The 20,591-nt window shown below is 37.7% G+C and overlaps 1 pseudogene across 1 annotated transcript in view; it reads right to left on the bottom strand.

The window, feature by feature from the left end:
• Positions 1 to 20,591, bottom strand: part of ANKRD30BP2 (ankyrin repeat domain 30B pseudogene 2) — an 80,086-nt pseudogene that overhangs the window by 43,144 nt on the left and 16,351 nt on the right. The window contains exons 7-11 of the transcript NR_026916.1: positions 14,225 to 14,642; positions 12,150 to 12,268; positions 9,409 to 9,933; positions 8,060 to 8,256; positions 5,816 to 5,933 (exon numbers count right to left, since the gene is read on the bottom strand). The product of NR_026916.1 is annotated as an ankyrin repeat domain 30B pseudogene 2 (transcript). The remainder of the gene's footprint in view (positions 1 to 5,815; positions 5,934 to 8,059; positions 8,257 to 9,408; positions 9,934 to 12,149; positions 12,269 to 14,224; positions 14,643 to 20,591) is intronic.

Here is a 20,591-nt window from a genome sequence, read left to right as displayed (position 1 = left end):
TCTGCATCTGTTTTCCAGATTCTTGCAACCCAAAACAAAACTTCACAGAAACTCTCCACAAGAGTTGGTAGACAGCTAAACCTTCTCCAAATTGAGTTATGGACAATAAGGTATTGATTATAGCAGAACTGGAAGGTCTATTTACAAGCCTGCACACAGTGCTATGTAAGTTGGCTGCTGGGGCACATAGATTGACAGGGAAAGGCCAGGGAGGCAGTTGAATTCCTGGCATTTTTCAAAGCTTTGTTTCCTAGTTTCATTATTCCTAGAATTTTGAAGCTTATTAAGACATTCCCTATCCTATGTCATACTCTAGAGCACTCTAGTCAGAATCCTGATAGAATAAACTCTTTTTGTGTTTTTTAAAGTGTACATTTCAATGACTTTTAATAATTTTTTTATACTTTAAGTTCTAGGGTACATGGGCACAACGTGCATGTTTGTTACATATGTATACATAGGCCATGTTGGTGTGCTGCACCCATTAACTCGTCATTTACATTAGGTATATCTCCTATTGCTATCCCTCCCCGCTTCCCCCACCCCACAACAGAGCCTGGTGTGTGATGTTCCCCTTCCTGTGTCCAAGTGTTCTCATTGTTCAATTCCCACCTATGAGTGAGAACATACAGTGTTTGGTTTTTTATTCTTGCGATAGTTTGCTGAGAATGATGGTTTCCAAATTCATCTGTGTCCCTACAAATGACACGAACTCATCATTTTTCACGGCTGCATAGCATTCCATTGTGTATATGTGCCACATTTTCTTAATCCAGTCTATCATTGATGGACATTTTTGTTGGTTCCAAGTCTTTGCTATTGTGTAATAGTGCCCCAGTAAACATACATGTGCATGTGCCTTTATAGCAGCATGATTTGTAATCCTTTGGGTATATACCCAGTAATGGGATGGCTGGGTCAAATGGTATTTCTAGTTCTAGATCCTTGAGGAATCACTGCACTCTCTTCCACAATGGTTGAACTAGTTTACAGTCCCACCAACAGTGTAAGTGTTCCTATTTCTCCACATCCTCTCCAGCACCTATTGTTTCCTGACTTTTTAATGACTGCCATTCTAACTGGTGTGAGATGGTATCTCATTGTGGTTTTGATTTGCATTTCTCTGATGACCAGTGATGATGAGCATTTTTTCATGTGTCTGTTGGCTGCATAAATGTCTTCTTTTGAAAAGTGTCTGTTCATATTGTTCACCCACTTTGTGATGGGGTTGTTTGTTTTTTTCTTGTAAATTTGTTTGAGTCATTTGTAGATTCTGGATATTAGCCTTTTGTCAGATGAGTAGATTGCAAAAATCATCTCCCATTCTGTAGGTTGCCTGCTCACTCTGATGGTAGTTTCTTTTGCTGTGCAGAAGCTCCTTAGTTTAATTAGATCCCATTTGTTAATTTTGGCTTTTGATGCCATTGCTTTTGGTATTTTAGACATGAAGTCCTCACCCATGCCTATATCCTGAATGGTACTGCCTAGGTTTTCTTCTAGGGTTTGTATGGTTTTAGGTCTAACATTTAAGTCTTTAATCCATCTTGAATTAATTTTTGTATAAGGTGTAAGAAAGTGATTCAGTTTCAGCTTTCTACATATGGCTAGCCAGTTTTCCCAGCACCATTTATTGAATAGGGAATCCTTTCCCCATTTCTTGTTGTTGTCAGGTTTTTCAAAGATCAGATGGTTGTAGATGTGTGGTATTATTTCTGAGGGCTCTGTTCTGTTCCATTGGTCTATATCTCTGTTTTGGTACCAGTACCATGCTCTTTCGGTTACTGTAGCCTTGTAGTATAGTTTGAAGTCAGGTAGCGTGATGCCTCCAGCTTTGTTCTTTTGGCTTAGGATTGTCTTGGAAATGTGGGCTCTTTTTTGGTTCCATATGAACTTTAAAGTAGTTTTTTCCCAATTCTGTGAAGAATGTCATTGGTAGCTTGATGGCGATGGCATTGAATCTATAAATTACCTTGGGCAGTATGGCCATTTTAATGATATTGATTCTTCCTATCCATGAGCATGGAATGTTCTTCCATTTGTTTGTATCCTGTTTTATTTCATTGAGCAGTGGTTTGTAGTTCTCCTTGAAGAGGTCCTTCACATCCCTTGTAAGTTGGATTCCTAGGTATTTTATTCTCTTTGAAGCAATTGTGAATGGGAGTTCACTCATGATTTGGCTCTCTGTTTGTCTGTTATTGGTGTATAAGAATGCTTGTGATTTTTACACATTGATTTTTTCTCCTGAGACTTTGCTGAAGTTGCTTATCAGCTTAAGAAGATTTTGGGCTGAGACGATGGGGTTTTTTAAATATACAATCATGTCATCTTCAAACAGGGACAATTTGACTTCCTCTTTTCCTAATTGAATAATTTTTATTTCTTTCTCCTGCCTGATTGCCTTGGCCAGAACTTCCAACACTATGTTGAATAGGAGTGGTGAGAGAGGGCATCCCTGTCTTGTGCCAGATTTCAAAGGGAATGCTTCCGGTTTTTGCCCATTCAGTATGATATTGGCTGTTGTTTGTCATAAATAGCTCTTATTATTTTGAGATACGTCCCATCAATACCTAATTTATTGAGGTTTTTAGCATGAAGCGTTGTTGAATTTTCTCAAAGGCCTTTTCTGCATCTATTGAGATAATCATGTGGTTTTTATCATTGGTTCTGTTTATATGCTGGATTACATTTATTGATTTGCGTATGTTGAACCAGCCTTGGATCCCAGGGATGAAGCCCACTTGATCATTGTGGATAAGCTTTTTGAGGTGCTGCTGGATGCTGTTTGCCAGTATTTTATTGAGGATTTTTGCATCGATGTTCATCGGGGATATTGGTCTAAAAATCTCTTTTTTTTGTTGTGTCTCTGCCAGGCTTTGGTACCAGGATGATGCTGGCCTTGTAAAATGAGTTAGGGAGGATTCCCTCTTTTTCTGTTGATTGGAATAGTTTCAGAAGGAATGGTACCAGCTCCTCTTTGTACTTCTGGTAGAATTCGGCTGTGAATCCGTCTGGTCCTGGACTTTTTTTGGTTTATGTCCAATCAAAAATTCTTATCCAGAATATATGAAGATTTGTAGGAGATTTTTTATATATTCTGGACATAAATTTTTGATTGGACATAAACATTGCAGATATCTTCTCCCACTTTGTCTTTTCTTTCTCTTAATGGTGAATTCGTTAATACCAATTTCTTAATTTTAATGTAGTTCAAGTTATCAGACTATTTCTGTGTAGTTAATGCTTATTTTGTCTGGCTTAAGAAATTTTTGTCTACCCCATTGTCATAAAGGTATTCTTCTATGTTACAGAAGCTTTTCTTTTTGAATTTTTAACGTTTCAGATTGAGCTTTATAACCCACCTACGATTGACTTTTGTTTGTGAAGTAAGATAAGGGCTAAATTCTTTTATTCCCCCATTTTGATATCCAAATTATCTAACACCATTTATTGAGAAGATTATTATTTCCTCACTGCACTGCAGTTTCACCTTTGTCATAAATCAGGTGATGGTATAAGTATGAGTTTGTTTTTGATTTCTCTATTTGTATGTCCTGCTAATAGCATCTTATTTTAATTGTAATAAAGTTGGAAACATCTGATGGTATACATTCTTGAGCTCTGTTCTTCTTCAGAACTTTCTTGGTTCTTCTTGTCCTTTTAAATTTTCAAAAAAATTTTAAATTAGCTTGTCAATTTTCAAATTACCTGATAGGATTTTGAGTAGGATTGCATTTAACCATAATTTAATGAGTAGAAATTACTTATTCACAATATAAAATCTTTCTATTCATAAACATTGTGTGTCTTTTTTATGTATACAATATTTATATCTGTTTTAAAAATTTTACTTTAAGTTCTGGGATACATGTGCAGAATGTACAGGTTTGTTACATAGGTATACATGTGCTGTGGTGGTTCACTCCATCTATCAACCTGTAATCTAAGTTTTAAGCCCCACATGCATGAGGTATTTGTCCTAATGCTCTCCCTCCTCTTCCCCTCCAACCCCTGACAGGTCTCTGTGTGTGAGGTTCCCCTTCATGTGTCCATGTGTTCTCATTATTCAACTCCCATTTATGAGTGAGAACATGCACTGTTTGGTTTTCTGTTCCTGTGTTAGTTTGCTGAGAATGATGGCTTCTAGTTTCATCCATGTCCCTGCAAAGAACATGAACTCATACTTTTTTATGGCTGCATAATATTCCATGGTGTACTCTAATTTGTACATGTACAAATTAGAACTCAGGATTAAGAAACTCACTCAAAACCACACAATTACATGGAAATTGAACAACCTGCCCCTGAATGACTACTGGGTAAGTAACGAAATTAAGGCAGAAATAACAAAGTTGTTTGAAACCAGTGAGAACAAAGAGACAACATACCAGAATCTCTGAGACACAGCTGAAGTAGTGTTAAGAGGGAAATTTATAGCACTAAATGCCCACAACAGAAAGCTGGAAAGATCTAAAATTGACCCCCTAATATCACAATTAAAAAACCTAGAGAAGAGTAAACAAATTCAGAAGCTACCAGAAGACAAGCAATAACTAAGATCAGAGTAGAACTGAAAGAGATAGAGACATGAAAAACCCTTTGAAATATCAGTGAATCCAGGAGATTAATAAAATAAATGGACCACTAGCTAGACTAACAGAGGAAAAAGAGAAGAATCAAGTAGACATAATAAAAAATAATAAAGGGGGCTGGGTGCAGTGGCTCATGCCTGTAATCCCAGCACTTTGGGAGGCCGAGGCAGGTGGATCACGAGGTCAGGAGTTCGAGACCAGCCTGGCCAATATGGTGAAACCCCATCTCTACTAAAAATACAAAAATTTGCTGTGTGTGGTGGTTTGTGCCTACTGTCCCAGCTACTGGGGAGGCTGAGGCAGAAGAATTGCTTGAACCCCAGAGGTGGAGGATGCAGTGAGCCAAGATTACACCACTGCACTCCAGCTTGGGTGACAGAGTGAGACTCCATCTCAAAAAAAAAAAAAAGAATGATAAAGGAGGTATCACTATTGATCCCACAGAAATACAAATTACCCTCAGAGAATACTATAAATGCCTCTCTGCAAATAAACTTGAAAATCTAGAAAATATGGATACATTCCTGGCACATACCCCCTCCCGTGACAAAATCAGGAAGAAGTAGAATCCCTGAATAGACCCATAACAAGTTCTGAAATTGAAGCAGTAATTAATAGCCTACCAACCAAAAAAAGCCCTGGACCAGATGGATTCATAGCTGAATTATACTGGAGATATAAAGAAGAGCTGGTACCATTCCTTCTGAAACTATTCCAAACAATGGTAAAAGAGGGACTCCTCCCTAACTCATTTTATGAGGCCAGCATCATCCTGATACCAAAACCTGGCAGAGACTCAACAAATACAGAAAATTTCAGGCTAATATCCCTTATGAACATTGATGTGAAAATCCTCAATAAAAGACTGGCAAAGTGAATCCAGCAGCACATACAAAAGCTTATCCACCATGTGCAACACTTTTTTTAAAGGCATGCTTCAATAAAGAAACACTTCCATTTAGTCAGGAGACTATCTCTTTGAGTCTAACATAGATTACAGCCTTGACATGAATAAGATTCTTCTTTTATGTACTCAATAAATGTTTACTTACAGCCTATTTTATGCTGGGTAGTATTATGGGAACTGGAGAGAGAAGGTCTGTCTTTATGGAGCTTGCAGTACAGTGACAGAGATAGAACATAAATGCGTAAACAGTTGCACACTAAAGTGATGGATGTACTAAGTGCTATGAAGAAATACATTAGCCAAGTGTGGTGGTGCTCACCTGTGGTCCCAGCTACTTGGTAGGCTGAGACAGGAGGTCTGCTTGAGCCCCAGAGTTTGAGGCTGCAGTGATCCATGATTGTGCCACTGCACCCTAGCCTTGGTGACAGATTGCGGCCCTGTCGAAATAAAAAGTATAATAATACAAAGAAAACAAGGTAGGGTAATCACATTCATGGTGTCAGCAACTGCTACTTTAGATAGGGAGCTCTGGAACAATCTTTTTGAGAAGATGACACTTGAGCAGGTCAGAATGGTATGACAGAGTAAGTTAAGCGAATGTCTAGAGGGCAGAGAGAAGAGACACTGTGCAGAGTCTGAATACAGACAGCACTTGATGAGCTCAAAGATCACTACAAAGTCCAGTCAGGCTGCAGGCACTGGGAGGAGGAAAGGAGAATGCACAGTCTGAGGAGCAGATAAACACAGACCATAGTAAAGAGCTTGGATTTCTTTGTTAATTGTGATAGGTAACCACTGGAGGATTCAGAGCTGGGAATGAAATGGTATAAGATATGTTCTTACAGGAATAGTCCAGCTTTGTGGGAGAATAGATTACAGATTACCATAAATAGAATAATAATAAATGTAAAGGCAGCTTAGGAATGATTATATCTGTCCAGGGGTTGATACTGATGGTGTTAGAACTGTGAGGTCCAGTATGATAGCCACCAGCTGCTTTTAGTTTTTTACACTTAAATTAATTAAAATGCCATAAAATTTATTCCTACCAGGGACTTGGGAGGAAAGGGAGAATGAGGAGTTGTTGCTTAATGAGTACAGAGTTTCAGTTTGGGGTGAAAATTTTTTTTGGAAATACATAGTTTTGATGATTGCACAACATTCTGAATGTAATTAATGCCTCTGACTTTTATGTTTAAAATGGCAAAGCTTATTATATGTGCTTTACCACAATGAAACATTATAAAATTAATCACAGAACCAAAACTCTAAAACCATTTTTTAAAACTGTATAAATTTAAGGATTGCAAGTGCAATTTTGTTACATGGGTATATGGGGTAGGAGTGAAGTCTGAGCTTTTAGTGTGTTTATCACTGGAACAATGTACACTGTATCCACTAAGTAATTTCTCATCACCCTTACCCCTCCCACCTTCTCACCCTTCTGAGTCTACAGTGTCTTATCATTTTACACTCCTTGTTCATGTGTACACATTATTTATTTCCCATTTTTAAGTAAGAACATGCAGTATTTGATTTTATGTTTCTGAATTGCAAAACTATAAAACTCTTAGAATAAAAAATAACAATAAATCTTTATGGCCTTTGATTTGGCAGTAGTTTCTTAGATATGGCACCAAAAGCACAGTGATAAAAGAAAATGTACTGGGCTTCATCAAAATTAGGAACATTTGTGTTTCAAAGGACGTAACAAAGAAAACAAAACGACAACCAGAAAAGTAGAGAAAATGTTTGCAACTTATATATTTGATTAGAAATCTGTATCCAAAATGCACAAATAGCTTTTACAACTCAACAACAAAAAGAAAAAATACATAAAAATAGGCAAAATATTTAAATAGACATTTTTGTGAAGAAGATATAAGAGCGTCCAATAAGTGCTTGAAGAAAAGCCTAACATCACAAGCCATCAAGAAAATGCAAAATCAAAACCACAAGCAGATATCACTTAACACCCACTAGTGTACCCACAATAAAAAATGACAAATGGTTGGGCACGGTGGCTCACGCCTGTAATCCCAGCACTTTGGGAGGCTGAGGCGGACGGATCACGAGGTCAGGAGATCAAGACCATCCTGGCTAACATGGTGAAACCCCATCTCTACTAAAAAATACAAAAAATTAGCCGGGCGTGGTGGCAGGCGCCCGTAGTCCCAGCTTCTCGGGAGGCTGAGGCAGGAGGATGGCGTGAACCCGGGAGGTGGAGCTTGCAGTGAGCTGAGAGTGCGCCACTGCACTCCACCCTGGTGAGGCCGTAGAGAAATTAGATCTTTCATACATCGCTGGTGGGGAAGTAAAATAGTGCACACATTGGAAAACTGTGAGGTGATTGATGAAAAGGTTATGCATAGGTACCTTATGACCCAGCAATTCCATTCCTAGGTACATACCCAAAAGAAATGAAAACTTATGAATGAAATATACAAAAGTTTGTACCTAAATATTATAGCGGCATTATCATAATTCTGAATAATACATACTAAATCGAAGGGATATTAAAAGTAATATTGATGAAATAAAGTTAGAAATATAAAATTTTTACCAGCGATTGATTGAGCTGATTCAAATTACTTCTTACAGTCTTCAATTCCATATTTTGTATATTCGGAGAGTGAGCTCAAGTTGCTTCACTTCTAACTTTTTCTTTTGTTGCTCTTCGATTTTTCCTAATTCTTCCCTAATTTTTCATTTAATATATTGGCATTTCTTCTCTTCTCTTCTTCTTGGTTTAAAGTCAATCTGCCATTAAATATACTTATCTTAAAATTCATTTTGTTAGAACATAGAATTCACTTTGAGATCTACTTCTTCGTATATTGGTTTATTATTCCAGTAAAATTTCTATATTCTTGAATATGTTTTTTCTTTCTAGTTCTGAGGTATTTAATTTATTACTGAACTCTCTTCCAAATGATGCACATACTTGAAAAATAATGAGAAAGAACATCTTCTAGTTAGAAAGATTCTGTTACCAGTAACTTCAACAACAGTTATGGAAAAGAATACTGGAAGTTATCCAGTAAAATTATAAGTTGAAAATTATTATTTTAAAAATATAACAGTCAAAATTACTCCTCAATAAGGACAGATCATTTAGAGTTAACTAATTAAAATGACGTTACTTTTTGTAAACAAGTTTACATATTCATTAGACATAAATATTCATCTTTATAAAATAAGGCAAGTATCCTTAAAAATAATTATATTAAAATCTGAGACTAGGCTGAAAAATCTAATATCTGTTATCCCATATATGTTTTGTTTCTTTTTTTAGTAATACTTTAAATGTATCTTGTTGATTATTATACATTTTATCAACAAATTTTAAATCTCTTTTAGAATAACACAGAATATATTTAATTAAAATATAAAAATAATAAGTACAACTCTGAATTAATTTTATTTATGTAGGAGAGAGAGATGTTGAATATACTAGTCATAAATTACCTATATTTTTCTTTATACTCCATGCATATTAAGATTACAAGTGTATAATTAAAGGAAAATGATTATTGGGGGTAGAGCAACCTATAATTTAACCAAATATTTTTATAGTGAAGAATTTATTCCAAGTCAATAATTAGAATGATAGAAAAAGATTTACATGCAGTTATGCCTTGCAGCACTTATTATAACACAAAAAATTAAAAATAAAAAAAATTAATTTGTTAAGTAATAATGGGGTTTCCAAATAATGGCCTTCTATGCAGCCATTAAAATTGTGATTTAAATAAATATGCATTTAATTATCAGGAGATGTATTCACAGTTAAGAAATTGTATTATTTAAATGAATTTGACACTCTACAAGACAGAGATTTCTTTCTCCAGTTAAACCTCAGAAGGTATGTCAGCTAGTACAAAAAGTATCCTATATACTAGTATGTCATACCTCACACTGCAGAGCTCTTGTTCTCTTTTAAGTTTTTGATTCTCTATGATTTTATTTATTTTGCTTCTGTTAGTTCCTTTTGTAGTACACGAAGCTTATTTTTCATTTGTTTCATTTTTGCTGTAAGTTGTTCACAGGGATTTTTTTTTCTTTTATTTTTTTTGACGGAGTCTCGCTCTGTTGCCTAGGCTGGAGTGCAGTGGCGCGATCTCCACTCACTGCAAGCTCCGCCTCCCGGGTTCATGCCATTCTCCTGCCTCAGCCTCCCGAGTAGCTGGGACTATAGTCACCTGCCACCACGCCCGGCTAATTTTTTTTTTTGTATTTTTAGTAGAGACGGGGTTTCACTGTGTTAGCCAGGATGGTCTTGATCTCCTGACGTCATGATCTGCCCGCCTTGGCCTCCCAAAGTGATGAGATTACAGGTGTGAGCCATGGCGCCTGGCCCACAGGGATATTTTTTAAGTTCCCTTGCTCTTTCACAAGAAAGAACTGCATCCAAGATTTTTGATAGGCTAGTTGAATGTGTCTCAAGGAGGAGATAGAAATAAAATATATTAGTACTTTTGGGATACAGAGAACTGCATATTTTAACAATCATTAATTCATACACTGATCAAATATATATTGATTGCCTGCCACGTGGAAGGCATTATACTAAGCTCTGCAGATTAAACAGAAAAAAACAAAAACCTCTGCATTTGTTTAACTTAAAATGTGCTAAAAGACAAAGCCCCAGAAAAGTGACAGTTATAAATTCAGATAAATACTGTAAGAAAACAGATTGCTAAGATTTAGATCTATACTAGGCTCATGGAAAATTCCCCCGAGGGATGTATAGCTACACTGAGGAATGAAGAATGAAAAGGAAGCAGTTGAGCAAACAGGGAAGGAAAGCATTTTAGCCAGTCTGTGGCATGTGCTGAAACTCTAGTGTAGTCTTCCTCTAGCCAAGGGAGAGCAACAGGTATGATTTTTCTTCTTAGCTAAAATAACTAAAAACAAAACACACAAAATACATTAAACAATTTTTCAGATACTGGACATTAGGCAAAGAAGATAATAATCCCTGAAAAACAGAAAATAAAAAAACGAAAGAAAGCAAACCTTCTGAATGTTTCAGCTTCCTGTCTTGGCAGAGATTCCGAGACATGACACAGGAAGAAAAAACTGAGGTGGGATCTACCAGACTCTCTTGGTTACACTGATGAAGCTTAGAGTCTAGTAAAACCAAAGCAGGCAGATATTACAGAACAAACACTGAGGAGGAGAGAGAGATACAGAAGCAACGGCAAGAAACCCCCTGTCAGTATTTAGCAAAATTTTGAAAATTGCATGTGAGATAGAAAACTACCTAAGAACAAACCGGATGGGGGTGGGGGTTGGCTTATAAAATTAGAGGAAATCACACCTGGTACTCATACAGTGCCAAGAAGAGTGTCTGTTTTTATAGATTTGCCTGGGAAAACTCAGACTTCACAGGAAAATGAATACTCAGAAAGGCCTTGTCTCAGGTATGGGGAGTTAGCTCACACCATAAAAAGAAAAATGAAAAGGATCAAGCTGTTTATAAGTAACTCAACTATAAAAATCAAGAAGATAAATAAAGCAATAGAAGATACTTTTAAAAACCAAATTGCACTTTTAGAGATACAAATTACAATGCTGGAGATGAAAGCTACACTGAGTAGATATGAGCATAGATTAATTCGCCATCATGAAAGAAAAGATTCACAAATTTGAGACACTAGTGAACGATGAGCAAACTTCCAGCAGGTAGTATATAAGTCCCCAAAGAGATAGGAGGAGAGGCAGAATCAAAAATTTGAGGAAAAATTGGCTAAATATGTTCTAAACTTAACGAAAGCCATAATCCCACAGATCTAGGCTGGGATCTGGTTGATAGAAAAGAAGTGAAAATATGATTGTAATTTCTTATACCATCTATGATATGATATAATATTACTTGAAGGTGGATTGTGATGAGGTAAATTCATACATTATAAATCCTAAAGCAACTACTAAGACAGCAAAGAGTTATACCTAATACCAAATAAACTTATACCAAAAAAGATATGACTAAATTGTAAAGAAATGTAAAACTAGATTAATAACTAAAAAAGTTATGCATATACAGATATGTAACTAAATCATAAAAATTACTAAACTAGTCTGAAGGAAGCAGAAAAAGGAAAAAAGCAAAGCAAAGAAGATCTGAGACTAATAGAAATCAAACAGTGTGATGACAGACAACTCTAATCATATCAATAATTACATTATAAATTAAACTGGTCTAAAAACCTCTGCTCAAAGGCAGATTATCAGAATGGATAAAAGAGCAAGTCTTATCTGTATAATGAGTATAAGAAATAAACTTTAAATATAAAGACAAAAATTGGTTAAAAGATGAAACGAGATATATCACACTAACACTACAAAAGAAGGCTGAGGAAGAGTGGTTGTATTAATACCAAAGTACATTTCATAGCAAAAATATTACCAGCAATAAACAAGGTCATTTCATAGTGACAAATGGTTCAATTAATCAAGAAAACATAACAGTCCTAAATATTTATGTATATAATAACATAAATGCTTCAAAATACATGATACAAAAATTGATAGAACTGCAAAAGAAATAGACAAATTCCCAAGTAGAGCCTAAAATTTCTAAACCCCTTACTCAAGTGGTATAATAAGGAGGCAGAAAATTCTGGAAAAATGTTGGTATGTGTACTCACCAGTCTAGACATTTTCCCACTACCTGTGTATGTATGCCGCTTTAGTTACAAAAAGTTAGGTAGGATCTTGGGAGATTTCTTCTTGGATACCAGAATTATCAACCACATCAACAGTATACCTAACAACTAAAATAATTCTTTTGAACAGATTACCACTGAAGAACTTGTAAGTTAAATCCAGTAGCCTTTTGAGTAATTTTACTGCTTGAAATTCTCACATTTAAAAGAAATTTGCAACATCACTTTCTCAGACTCCTCTCCTACATTTGTTTAACCACTGCTCAGTCTCCTTTACCAAGTCCTTTGACTCTTGTGAAATGTTGATATTCCCAGGGTTTTGTCAATGGCTTTCCTTTTATTCTACATCTTCTGCCTCATGGATAAGCTCATTGAGATCTATGGCTTTGCCTAATAATTATAATAAAGGTATTCTAAGCCTGCATCTTCAACCAGAGTTCTATCTCCAGCTAGAAATGCATATAATCCAATTACCTACTGAAAGTATCCCTCACAAATGTTTCATTGAACTCAATATGTAAAGAAAACTGTTGGTCTGTCCCATGACTGTTTGCACTTCCCTGTTAACCTGACAAATTCCTACTCCTTCCCCATGAGCATTGTAAATGCTTGTGCACAATCTGAAAACTTATGAATGACCTGAGATTTTATCTGTCCCCTAGCTTTTTAAACTCAATTATCACTAAACCATATTAACTGCACCTCTTTTCTGCCTTTGCTTTATCTTTCCAGTGCCACTGGAAATACAAACTTATTTATTTTATATTTATATTTCCTTGTTAAACGTGGCCCCTTAACTGATGGCTTTCACAGGGAAAAAGAAACCCTACAAATTACTGTTCTTATTTTTTAAGTTAAAAAAATTAATCAAAATAAAATAATGCCAAAGAAGGACCTACATGTTTAAATGTGTAAATTGAGCTTCTGAACTTTATTCATTTTACCCTTGATGGATCAAACTTTCATAATAGATTGATACTAGGCCACAGATTGTTTACAAAAAAAAAAGACTATCACATGAACTACTACAAAAGCTTAATCTTTCAATCTTTTTACGTGATTATCCTCCATCTATCTACTATATGAAGGGCCAAAAACTATAGGCCACAGGCCAAATTCAGCTTTCTAAATGGTTTTTTATACAAACTTTTATTGGAGTACAATCATGCCTCTTTGCCCATACATTATCTATGACTCCTTTCACTCTACAATGGCAGAGTTGAATAGCTGTAATAGAGACCACATGGCCCAACATATTCGCTATCTGGCACTTTACAGGAAAACTTTGCCAATCTCTGCTTTATACCATGACCAGAATGCCCTGATACTCAAATCTAATCTTGTGACTCCCCTGCTCAAACTTTTCCACTGAATTCCTGCAGAAAACATTGCTGGCTTCCTATGCATAGTCATTATTTATTCTTTATTGCTGCAGAAACACATGCTCATTTAGATATTTATTATTCCATTACACCCATCCCATCTTAAAAGAAAAATCATTATTGTAAGCTAATCACAGTAATTACATTTGCTTTCCTAGTGATTGGTATAGAAATAAGCATGTGGTATAATCCAGCCAATAAAATGTTACAGGAAGATTACTGAAAGCTTCCAAGTTTTCTCCCATTAAAAAAAAATGTGAACAAAAGCAGCCCTCCCAGCCTTCAGATATTGTCTTGAGATAGCATGATGATTGGAGCTGTTGCTAATTAGCCAACCAAGAAAGGAGACATGAACAAAACACTGCCAATAGCACAACTAATAATGGGGGGGTGAGTGAGATCCTATAACATCCCTGTACCACCAAAACAACTTTGGTTTCTATGGTTTTAGCAATTGTTAGTTAGTTCATCTATTATTTACAGCCAGAACTATTTTGGGAATTTTTCCAGGGCCTACAGAATAAGATCTACTCATTTCTACACTATTAAAATGTGTTGCCTAAGCTTGCGTTATCTAGACATTCAAGCCATTCCCAACTACTCCCATACCACACTATTTCCATTAGGCAACCCAGAGTGCCAATAAACTCTACAAAGTTCACTCAAGCATCTTACCATTTGTACTTGCTTTTGTAGCTGTTTTTTTGTAGGACATGTGATCATCTTAGATGTTCCTTCTTCCAAAACTTCAATTTTATTAAATGTTACTCCTGCCACTCATTCAGTCTTTACAGATGTTTCTTTTTCCTCCCGTGTGGTCTTTGAAGGCCTTTCTTGTGGCCATGCAAATTTCTCAGATGTTTCTTTCACAGGCCTTGTAATTTTCCTAGGTGTTTCTCCTGCTGACTGTTCAATCTTTCCAGATATTGCTTTCCCCAAACATTGAACTTCGTCAGATGTTCCCTCCACCAAGGGTGCACCTTCATGTTGGAAATAACTTTTTGGTGACACAAAGAAGAGTTAGCACTCCAGCAAGGCAAATTTACTTCTATAGAAGGGTGAGTCTTGCGGATGGAGCAATGGCAAGAGCACACTGGATAAGAGAGGGGAAAGGGTTCTTATTCCTAATGCAGCTAGTCCCTACTTTTGTGTCTCTCCCCTGTTGGCTAGGGTTGGACGGAACACTCTAAGCTAATTTTGACTGGCTACTTCAAAGAGGACAGGGGTGCAAGCCAGAGTGGCGGGGTGGGTAGTTTCTGCAGGAAGGATGGTTACAGAGCGGGCGACTAAGGATGACTAAGGAGAGAGCAGGTGACTAAGAATGGCTAAGGATAGAGTAGGTGATAGGGACTAGGAGGGGGTCATTTACTGAAACTAGGGGCAAGGATGCATAAATAATGAGGAAGTTAAACTTTAAAATGGAGAACAAAGAATAGAGAAGCTGAACATATTCACATATTTGTTCTTTGAAGAGGAACTCAGAACTCACTGTACTTAACAATCTTCCCTCTCTTGAACTTTAAAGGACATTAACAGGCTAAAACCTTTGAAGAGGAATTCACTGTATTCTACAATTCCCTCTTTCAATTTTTATAGCCCTTCCTCTTCAAACCTTTTTAACATGTCTTGGCTTTTTTTTTTTTTTCAACTTGATCCTCTAAAAAGAAAAGCCTATCTGAATAAGGTGGAGGACAGCTAAGGGAGGTTTTAGAAAGTGTTGTTTCTATAAGCCTTTGCACTAGCCCATGGATGCATGGTATGACACAACACCCAACAAGAATGAGTACAGCCGTTACTTCTGTAAGAGAAGTAAGAATTGAGGCTATGATTTCTTCCCATTTACTGAAACACCTTTCTAGCCATCTGGAGAAAGGGTTATTGACCCCAGAATTTTTAGCTAATTCATTGGATAAAGTGGTAAATCCTTGTAGGGCCCTTGTTATGCTCCCATTGGGGGCAGTGTTGTTTGCCCCCAATGGATAAAGGTGTATCACTGAGTTTTAATGATAACACAAACACCACCTTTTTCAGCTAATATCATATCCAGGGCCATTCTGTTTTCCCAGGCCATCTGGCTAGTTGGCCTCAATTGTTCTGCTATTCCTTTGACAACATCCCTGGTGGAATTAATAAACCACTGTTGATTATTATAGATGTAATTCATCAAATCTACATTTTTATTGTCACCCACCAAAATATTGATTCAAATCCTGTAGCTATTTGATCTTAGGCTTAAATGTATCTGGTACTCCTCATGGGATTCCAATAGCATCTAAATAAATGTGGGAGTCAAAAGACCCGTAAGGGACTTCCCTTGCTTTACAATGTTGTGTTTTCCCTTTTTCTGGTTGATGAAATGCCAGAGTGAAAAGTATAGCCAACAGGACTAGAGCACGAGGGCTGCTCCAGTTACTTGGCAGAGTGTCCAGTAAAGGTCCACCACAATACCACCATACATCTGCTCAGGGGTGTATAAGCGATGACTGATTGGTAAGCTCTTGGAAAGTCTTAAGCTTACTGCATCCTTTTAGGCCTCCAAACAATGCTAAGTTTCCTCCTTGTTGTGAGAGACATGAAGTGAACTTAGTGTCGGGAGACAGAAGCTGGATGGCCCTTGGAGGCTGACCTGCAGGGTGTTGAACTTTGGGATATAGCAGAGAGAGAGATTGACATGACTTGTTACCCCAGGCTGTGGAACCCTGGAAAAGAGCTACCATACAGACCATGCCTGGTCGACTGAAGGACCATCCTAGTGGAAAGGGGACAATCTGGGCCTTTGGTGTGCTGTGTGCACAAGCGTAACAGTTGCTTTTGTTTAAAGTGCGAACGGAGTATTTGATGCATTCCAACCAGGCATTCACATCTTGATATCCTGCCTCAGTTACCAAAGTTTGTTTTAGGTCTTTAACTTCTACAATAGCTACCTTGGTCTTCTCATTAGATGGAGGAGGAACAACAGTTTCATTGTGAGAGTTTTTGGAAGAAGACTTAGGGGAAGCTGTAGGCAGTAGGGGAGCAATGAAGCATATTCCAAAAGATCCAATAGGGTCCGTTTCTGAAAACTCAGCCCCCATATCATAAAACCAGCTTAAAGAAGGGAATTGGCTTAGAGAAGGGGAAGATCTTTGAGGGTTTGAAATAATAACCTGTATTGGGTTGCACTAGTTTACCTGAAAGTTAGGGGGAGCTATATCTTTAGTAAAATGAATGTATGATTTTAGGAATTACAACTACTTGTTGGGGCAGTCCATCCTTGCTCTCACTTGCACGTAGTTGGACCAACTACATCATAAAAGCTCTGTGTCAAGGGGGCAAGACTCCCAGTTGACACTGGGGTCTTCATTGAAACTTTCGCAGACTAAATGATCCAAATTCTCTAATGTCCAGTCTGAGGAGAGCCAGGAAGTACAGAGGTACTTTTCTGAAGTTGAGAGCTGTCTTCAACTTGACAAGTCTCCAAAGGTATAGCAAGGCAAGGATCAAATGTAATAGTTTCAGGCAAAATGGGTTCCATTGTCTGAGTCAATGTTTTCTATTAGCCTAAACCTGGGCACTATATTTTCAATTAAGGCCTTAACTACATCATTGGCCATCACATTTGAAAAGGGAATAGCTTTGACCCAGTGAGTAAGGTGATCTACTGTCACTAGTAAATATTTTAGACGACCTATTGGAGGCATCTCTGTGTAATCAATCAGGATACTTTAAGTCTGGACTCCTTCTCCCAAGGGGTAATCTTTTTATAGTTTTTTTATTAGTTTTCTTACATACTAAGCAAATGTCTGTAACCTGTTTGGTCAGAGTATAAATTCCTATACACCCAAAAACTTTCAGAACTGTGTCACACATGGCTTGGGACCCCCAGTGGGTCCCTTGATGCAGTTGGGACAAGTTTTCCCTCATAAAGGGTTTGAACAACATTTCCCTCTGGTCTGACAATATTCATTTTTATTCTGAATTCTCTTTAGCACCTATTTTTATTAGTTTCTCTTTTCAGTGGAAGAGAAAATGGAGATTATGGTAGGAGGAGGAAGGTAAAGAGTTCAGTGAAAAATAGATGTTTTAAAAGAAATGGCAGCCTGTTTCCCTATGTAATCTGCTAGGCTATTTCCTGGACTGTCAAAAGAAAGACTTTTCTGGTGTCTGGGGACATGGACAATCACTATTTCCTCTGGCAACTGAAGGTTATTCAATACTTAGGTGATTAGATCCTTATGAACAAGATCTTGATGTTTACTATTAATGAGACCTCGTTCAGTCTAAATTTTTCCCAATGTATGAGCCACTCCAAAGGCATACTTAGAATTGGTATAGATGGCTACTTCCTGGTTCTGCAAGTACTTTAAGGCTCAGCTGAGTGCAAACAGCCCACAAGTTTGGGCAGACCAATTCTTAGGCAATTTTCCTACCTCAATTTCTTCAAGAGTTTCCCTATCAATTACTGAATACCCATTGCATCTTTTTGCCTCAATCACCTGGGAGCAACCATCTATAAATAAGTGTCATCCCATCCTGAAGGGAGTTTCTCCTAGGTCTGGTCAGACCTTTGTATGGTAATCAGTTAAATGTAAACATGTGTGCTATCTCTTTAGATTTGGATCCCCTATTAGGAAAACTGCTGGGTTAAGGGAATTATCAGTGGTTAATGTTAAATCATCTTTTTCTAACAGAATAGTCTCATACTTTAAGATTCTTGAGTCAGTAAGCCACCTCCCTGCTTTCTGGTTTAAGATAGTTCTAACTTGATGGGGCGTTATTACTGTCAATTTTCCTCCAAAGGTTAACTTCCTGCTTTCTTTGACCATTAGTGCTGTAGCCACAATGGATTGGATGTATTGAGGCCACTCACAAGTAACTGGATCTAAGACTTTTGACAGGAAGGCCACCATGGTCTGCCAATGGCCTCCATGTTCTTAAGTGAGCACTCCTAAAGCTACCCCATTATCCACGTTGACAAAAAGGTGGAATGGCTTTTCTAGGGAAGGTAAGGCTAAGACAGGGGCTGTTATAAGCCTTTTTTCAGCTCTTCAACCTGATGGACTTCCTCAGAAGTCCACAGGAAATGGTCAGTCTTCCCCTGGGCAAGTTTTGGATATAGAATTTTACTGTTTAGTGCATGTGAGTTAATCCATAAGCAGCAGTATCCAAATAACCCTAAAAATTTCCTGAGTTCTTGTTTAAGTTTGAGGCAAGGGTAGGGACACGATTCCCTCAACTCGTTCAGGCCCTATTCTTCACTTCTCTGCACTTAAAAGTGGTCTAAATATTTAATTTCAGGTTCTACATACTGAAGCTTTCCCTTTGAGACTCATAACCCCTCGAACTGCAGATGGTTGAGAATATGTGTAGAGAAGCCAGCTACCTTCTCTATATCTTCACCAGATATAAGAATATCATCAACGTATTGGAGCAGGCATATTTGTTTGGGATGATAACTTTTTCTAATACTTGTTCTAAAATTTGACTGAAAAGGTTAGGGGAGTTTGTGAACCCTTGGGGTAAGACTATCCATCGATATTGTTGTTTCTACCCTGAATGGGGATCCTCCCACTCAAAAGCAAATATATCTGGCCTATCTTCAGCCAGGAGACATACCCAAAAAGCATCCTTCAAATCTATTACAGTAAACCATTGATTATTATATGGAATCTTGCTGAGAATGGTGTAAGGATCGAGGACAATTGGATGGGTAGTTTGGACTATTTGGTTAATAGCCCTAAGGTGCTGTACCAGCCGATATGACCCATCTAATTTCTTGGCTGGCAATATTGGGTTGTTATAAGGGGACATAGAGGGCCCAAGAAGCCCATCTTTAATAAGACCTTCAATTATAGGTTTCAACCGTATCCTACCCTCTAGGGGAATGGGGTATTGTTTCCTCCTTACTACTTCCCTGGGGTTTTTTACCTTGATGTGCTTGGAGGGACTCAGAGTTTCCCTCAGTTTCCTTCTTTGGATCAGACATTAGAATTAATATATTTTTCATCTGCAGTGGTGAGTAGCTTTAATGAGGTGAGGAATCCTCTTGTGCTGAGTTGCAGGCCTATGCCTAACTTCAACATTAAATCCCTGCCTAGTAAATTAGTCCCTGCTTTAGGGATTAACAAAAACTGAATATGAGCTGATTGAGCCTGGTATCTGACTTCTGTGTTTTCTAAAATTTTTGCTTTAAATCCTTCTCCCTTTACCCCACACACCAAAAGTTCCTCTGAAGAGCAGGCAATATTAGATGGGGGGGAAACAAACAGAGGATCGAGCCACTCCTGAATTGACTAAAAAGGTTATAAACTCATGCTTAGGTCCCACTTCTAGACTTATCAAGGGCTCCTGGTGGGACTCAAGATAAAAGAGACAGAACCCCTGACACCATTATTCTTCCTCAAAAGCCATGAGTGGAAGGGCTTCTTTTTCCTTTTCTAATTTGGGACATTCTCTCTTGAAGTGGCCTGTTCTTCCACATTTGTAGTGCCTACCTTGCCCTTCCCCACTCTCAGTTCTGGGATTCTTTGATTTTACTCCCCCATGCTATTTAGATGGACTGGTAGACGAGAGCCTTGATCCTCCCAATGGAGGCTTGGGTCCTTTAAAGGAGGGTTTGGAACCTTTATAGTTTCTGGCCCACTGGAAGCTCTGTTTAGGGGTACATGGGTTTGGAGCCATCTGTTGGAAGGTGAATAACATAAGTTTTGTCTTTTGTTTTCGCTTTTCTTCGTCTCTCTTCACAGATACTTTTTGAGTCTCTCTGAGGTTCACTTGAGGTTACTTCACTTGAGGTTCACTTCTCATTGAAGTTCACTTGAAGTCAGTTTTCCCAATCTTCTAATTTTTGTAACTTTCTTGAAATATCTGGACAACGTTGGCCAGGCACAGTGGCTCATGCCTGTAATCCCAGCACTTTGAGAGGCCGAGGTGGGTGGATCACGAGGTCAGGAGATTGAGACCATCCTGGTTAACACGGAGAAACCCCGCCTCTACTAAAAATACAAAAAATTTGCTGGGCGTGGTGGTGGGCGCCTGTAGTTCCAGCTACTTGGGGAGGCTA

Source organism: Homo sapiens, chromosome 21 (genome assembly GCF_000001405.40).
Source record: "Homo sapiens chromosome 21, GRCh38.p14 Primary Assembly".
NCBI lineage: Eukaryota > Metazoa > Chordata > Mammalia > Primates > Hominidae > Homo > Homo sapiens.
The sequence above is the reverse complement of the archived record's forward strand: the minus strand, read 5'-3'. Positions and strand labels throughout refer to the sequence as shown.